A 6,000-nucleotide genomic window follows, 5' to 3' on the forward strand; every position below is an offset into this window, starting at 1 on the left:
GAGTTTGAAACTAGCCTGGGAAGCAAAGAAGACCCCATCTCTGCAAAAAATAAAAAAATTAGCCAGGCACGGTGGCATGTACCTGTAGTCCCAACTACTCAAGTGGCTGAGCCAGGAGGTTTGCTTGAGCCAGGGAGGTTGAGGCTGCAGTGAGCCATGATTGCACCACTGCACTCCAGCCTGGGTGACAGAGCAAAGACTCTATCTCAAAAAAAAAAAAAAAAAACAACTATCTTCCTCTTCAATGACACCTATGGAGTCCACTCATTAAAGATAAAGTGTTGGCTGGGCACGGTGGCTCACGCTTGCAATCTCAGCACTTTGAGTACTTTGGGAGGCTGAGGCGGGCAGATCACGAGGTCAGGAGTTTGAGACCAGCCTGGCCGGCATAGTGAAACCCCATCTCTACTAAAAATACAAAAAATTAGTCAGGCATGGTGGTGCACGCCTATAGTCCCAGCTACTAGGGAGGCTGAGGCAGCAGAATTGCTTGAACCCGGCAGGTGGAGGTTGCAGTGAGCTAAGATTGTGCCACTGCACTCCAGCCTGGGCAACAGAGCGAGACTCCATCTCAAAAAAAAAAAAAAAAAAAAAGAAGATGAAGTCGTAAGATGGAAAGAGGCTAGATCCCTGAATCAATGCTAGTAGCACCACTCAACATACATGAGATGTCATGTGAACAAGAAATGAGTAACAAAGTTATTAAGTTGCTGAGATGTGGTGGTTGTTACAAGGGTTGGCCCCTCCTGACCTTCTGATCTAATTGATCTGGAGAAGGGCCTAGGCAATTGTTTTTTTAACCCCCCAGGTGATCCTAACGGGCAGCCAGAATTGAGAACCACTGGATTGGGACAGAAATACAAGTGCAGAGTTGCTTAGTAGAGAAATACTGAGTTTCCAGGAATGCCCCAGGAAATGGGAAGAAAGTTGTCCAGAAATGAGAGGAAAAAAAGAGAGGACAGAGAGGACCCAGCAACATGGTGGAGGCAAGGGACCAAAAGAGAAGTTGACCAGAAAGACATTCTTTGTGCTAGGAATGGTCAGAGGCTCTTTGGAATAGAGGTGTTTAATAATCAATGCCAAATTCCCATCAGAACTATGAGGTGATATGAACCCCCATGGATGCTTTGGGGAAATCAAAATAAGGGTGGTTGCTCATCTGGCCATTGCAGGGAGAAGGGAACCGCCAAAGCTCCTGAGAATCCTCAGTGATCCCGAAGGAGTGGCACGCAGCTCCGCTGAATAACTCATTTAGGAAGAAAGCTGATCCCTTAACCCTGAAGGATTTGCCAAACATCGCCCTTGGGTGCTCTTTTGATGTCACCTATGGCCCCTGTTTCTGAGTACCTGGAAGCAATCCTAGTGTTACCACTGGGAGGGTCCATGACACTTTTACAGAAGATAAATCTGAAGCCCAGAGAGGTAGAGGGACCTGTTGGGGGCCACACAAGTTCCAGGTGGAGCTGAGTGAATTAGCCACAGCATGTCTGAGTCCTCGAGCCCCATGAATGCTCGCAGACACCTGGGTGCAGGCATTTTTTTTTTAATTTTAGATTTTTAGGGGGTACACATGCAGGTTTGTTACATAGGCATATTGTGTGATGCTGAGGTTTGGGTTTCTATTGAACCTGTCACCCAAATAGTGTACAGAGAACCCAATATGTCATCAATATGTAGTTTATCTTTTCTTTTCTTTTCTTTTGAGATGGAGTCTTGCTCTGTCCCCCAGGCTGGAGTGTAATGGCACGATCTTGGCTCACTGCAATCTCCACCTCCCGGGTTCAAGTGATTGTCCTGCCTCAGCCTCCCAAGTAGCTGGGATTACAGGTGCATGCCACCACACCTGGCTAATTTTTGTATTTTTAGTAGAGACGGGGTTTCACCATGTTGGCCAGGCTGGTCTTGAACTCCTGACCTCAGGTGATCTGCCCGCCTCGGCCTCACAAAGTGCTGGGATTATAGGCATGAGCCACTGTGCCCGGCCAATATGTCATTTTTCAACCCTTATCTCCCTCCTTCCTTCCCTCCCTCCCTCCTCTTATCATCCTCAGTGTCTATTGTTGCCATCTTTATGTCCATGTGTACCCAATGTTTGGCTCCCGCTTATAAGTGAGTACATATGGTATTCAATTTTCTGTTTCTATGTTAATTTGCTTAAGATAATGGCCTCCAGCTGTATTCATGTTACTGCAAAGGACATGTTTTTTTTTTTTGTTTTGTTTTTTTGAGACAGAGTCTCACTCTGTCGCCCAGGCTGGAGTGCAGTGGCGTGATCTTGGCTCACTGTAACCTCTGCCTCCCAGGTTGCAATACAAGCAATTCTCCTGCCTCAGCCTCCTGAGTAGCTGGGACTACAGGCACGCACCACCATGCCTGGCTAATTTTTGTATTTTTGCTAGACACAGGGTTTCACTATGTTGGCCAGCCTGGTCTCCAACTCCTGACCTCAGGTGATCCACCCGCCTTTGCCTCCCAAAGTGCTGGGAGTACAGGAGCAATTTCACTATTTTTATGGCTGCATTATATCCCATGGTGTATATGTACCATATTTTCTTTATCCAACCCACCACTGATGGACACCTAAGTTGATTCCATGTCTTTGCTATGGTGAATAGTGCTACGATAAGCATACAAGTGTGTTGGAGGCCAAAAGAATGAGGGTCGTGATCAACCCAGTATACCACTGGAGGCTATATGAGCAAACAGCAAACTGTTCTCATAATGCAGAATGTTGGCAAACTGACAAACTGCGTCTGCCACCCAGAAGGAATGCTGAGGGCAGTCACGCCCCAGGCGCAGTGTTTGTGATTATCTACAGGCACACCTGAAGCCTGTTAGCAATTATGTGAACCTGTGATAAATCAAGCAGCTGACCAATGGTTACCTGCTCTTCCCTACTCTTTCTACCCAATAAATATGGAGGGCTGTGGAAGCTTAGGGCCCTTGCTCACTAGAAGCAAGAAGCCCCCAACCCCTTCTTTAAAACAGATTCTTTTGTCTTAAGTTTTCATTTCTGCGTTCATCCTCTTTTGTTCAGTCCCATAGTAACTGTCACAAGTGGTGCCCAAACAGGGATGAACAGGGATAGGGACAGACAGGGACAGATAGAGACAAGCAGGGACTTGCAGGGACTCGTAGAGACTAGCAGAGACAGACAGGGACAGACAGGGACACGAACGAGGAGGGTCCGCTGGAGCAGAGAAAGTGAAACTGGCCAGACGAACGAGAAACCCCAGAACGAGTCTGCTGGCAGTGGATATAAGGTCAGTGCCCTAAAAAAGTACTGGGATATAAGGTCAGGTCCCTAAAGAGGTACTGGGAGCGGGAAGTTTCTGAATCAGGGTAACATGGGGCAGAATTTGTCCATTCTTTCTGTTTTTTCTGTTTGGGGTTTGGTCTGTACTGTCCTTTTGTCATTATTTCAAAATTTGAAAGAATTTTTTGCCCCACCCACAGCACCTATCAAGGGCGGTGAATAGGAGAGGGAGGGTGAAGATTGGCCTGTACCGTCTTCTTTTGTGGCTGCAGAAATACTAACTTTAACTTTGGCTTTGAGAATGCAAACGTGGATTGTAAGCATGCACTGGCACCTGTGAGATGTACAAGAAGCTTAGGAAATTTTCTCAGAGCTTGTCAAGATGTGGGAATTGAGCTTCATCGCTCTACAATGTTGGCTCAAGCAATGGCTAGTTTAGTAGTTGATAAACCTAAAAGGAGCCAAGGGTCAAACCCTAAAGTGGGAAAGTGTTATAATTGTGGAAAAATTGGACATTTCAAAAAAGAATGCCGTCAGATCTCTGGAAAGAAGGGATCTTATAATACAGTTCCCTCCCGCACAATAGAAAAAAACACCAGGACTTTGCCCTCCTTTGCAATAAAGGAAATGATTGGGCTAATCAATGCCATTCAAAATTTCATCAAAACAGCACCCCCCTGTGGGGAAATGAGAAGGGGGCCTGGATGTGGGCACCTCAAACAATGAGGGCATCCCCAGTCCAGCCCACAACTCCGTTTCAAGGGTGGGTTTCCGGAGGCACATTGATTCCCTCTCCCCAGGAACACCTGGAAGCACAGGATTGGGTCTCCCAGTCAAAGAATGTGTTACTTTAGTTGGAGGAGACAAATCCACGAAGATTCCCACTGGGATTTGTGGACCTTTGCCAACAGGATACATGGGATTAATTTTAGGCAAAAGCTGTCTTAACTTACAGGGCATTACTGTAGTCCCAGGAGTTGTTAATTTGGATTATGAAGGAGAAATTCAAGTAGTGGTAATGTTACAAGATCTTTGGGTTTTGAACTGGGAGAATATATTGCTCAACTGTTGCTTATCTCCTGCAAATTACACCCTTCTCCACGAAAGAAGAAACAAGGGAATCAAGGATTTGGAAGTACAACTCGGAGGGACATTTATCTATCACAACCAATAGCATCTAGTAGACCCACTTGTGCAGTGCAAATTAAAAGTTTTGTGGGCTTATGGATACGGGAGCAAGAGACTGGCCTCTGGCAGTAATGGATCTTGGAGATTTTTTTTTTTTACTATACCTTTACACGAGAAGGATAAGCCTCGATTTGTTTTCTGTGCCTTCTGTTGATTGGAGAAAGCCTGTTTCTCATTATCAATGGAAAGTTTTACCCCAAGGCATGCTCAGCAGTCCTACGTCATGTCAGCATTTTGTAGGAAAAGCATTAAGGAACCTCAGAATATGTTTCCCACTGCCTATAGATTTACTAACGTGGGGACGAGGGTATGCTTATGTTTTTATAGGAGATGGACAAACCATGTGGGTGCCCTCAAGGTGTGTGCAACCATGGAACAGGAGACTGGAGGGACCCATGGATCCCAACCATGGGCCTGGTTCCCCTGGTATGAGCCATGAGCCAGTTGAATCTGAGTGCAAAGACAGAGTGAGGACTGACCAGAGTCACACTGACATCAACCCCCATAACATGAGGACAGATTTTGTTCAATTAATGTAAAAACAAAAAGGGGGAGATGTTGGAGGCCGAAAGAATGAGGGTCATGATCAACTCAGTATACCACTGGAGGCTGTATGAGCAAACTGTTCTCATAATGCAGAATGCTGGCAAACTGACAAACTGCGTCTGCCACCCAGAAGGAATGCTGAGGGCAGTCACACCTCAGGCGCAGTGTTTGTGATTATCTACAGGCACACATGAAGCCTGTCAGCAATTATGTGAACCTGTGATAAATCAAGCAGCTGACCAAAGGTTACCTGCTCCTCCCTGCTCTTTCTACCCAATAAATATGGAGGGCTGTGGAAGCTCAGGGCCCTTGCTCACTAGAAGCAAAAGCAAGGACCCCTTCTTTAAAGCAGATTCTTTTGTCTTGTTTTCATTTCTGCATTTGTCCTCTTTTGTTCGGTCCTGTAGTAACTGTCACAAGTGGCGTACATCCTCCTTCATTCAGTCCCATAGTGACAGTCACACAAGTGCAGGTATCTTTTTGGTGGAACGATTTCTTCTCCTTTGGGTAGATGCCCAGTGATGGGATTGCTGGAATGAATGGTAGTTCTATGAGAACTCCCCAAACAGCTTTCCACGGGGGCTGAACTAATGTACGTTCCCACCAATAGTGTATAAGCACTCCCTCTTGTCTGCAACTTCACCAGCATCTCTTATTTTTTGACCTTTTAATAGCCATTCTGACTGGTGTGAGATGGTAACTCATGGTAGTTTTGGTTTGCATTTCTCTGATGATTAGTGACGTAAAGCACTTTTTCATACATTGTCACTTGTATGTCTTCTTTTGAGAAATGTCTGTTCATGTCCTTGGGTACAAGCACTTAGAAGGAGCATCTTCTGGGGATGGGGGAGTGTGCAGGGGCAAGACAGAGGAAAGGAAGACATCGCAGAAAACAAGACATGTTGCTCTGACTTCCATTCTAGTAGTCATCTGTGCTGTGCTCCCCAGCTCTCACTCTCTCCCAAAGCCATCCATCCAACCCCAACCAAAGAAAAGCAGAGCCAGAAGCC

This window comes from Homo sapiens, chromosome 17, assembly GCF_000001405.40.
Source record: "Homo sapiens chromosome 17, GRCh38.p14 Primary Assembly".
Taxonomy (NCBI): domain Eukaryota; kingdom Metazoa; phylum Chordata; class Mammalia; order Primates; family Hominidae; genus Homo; species Homo sapiens.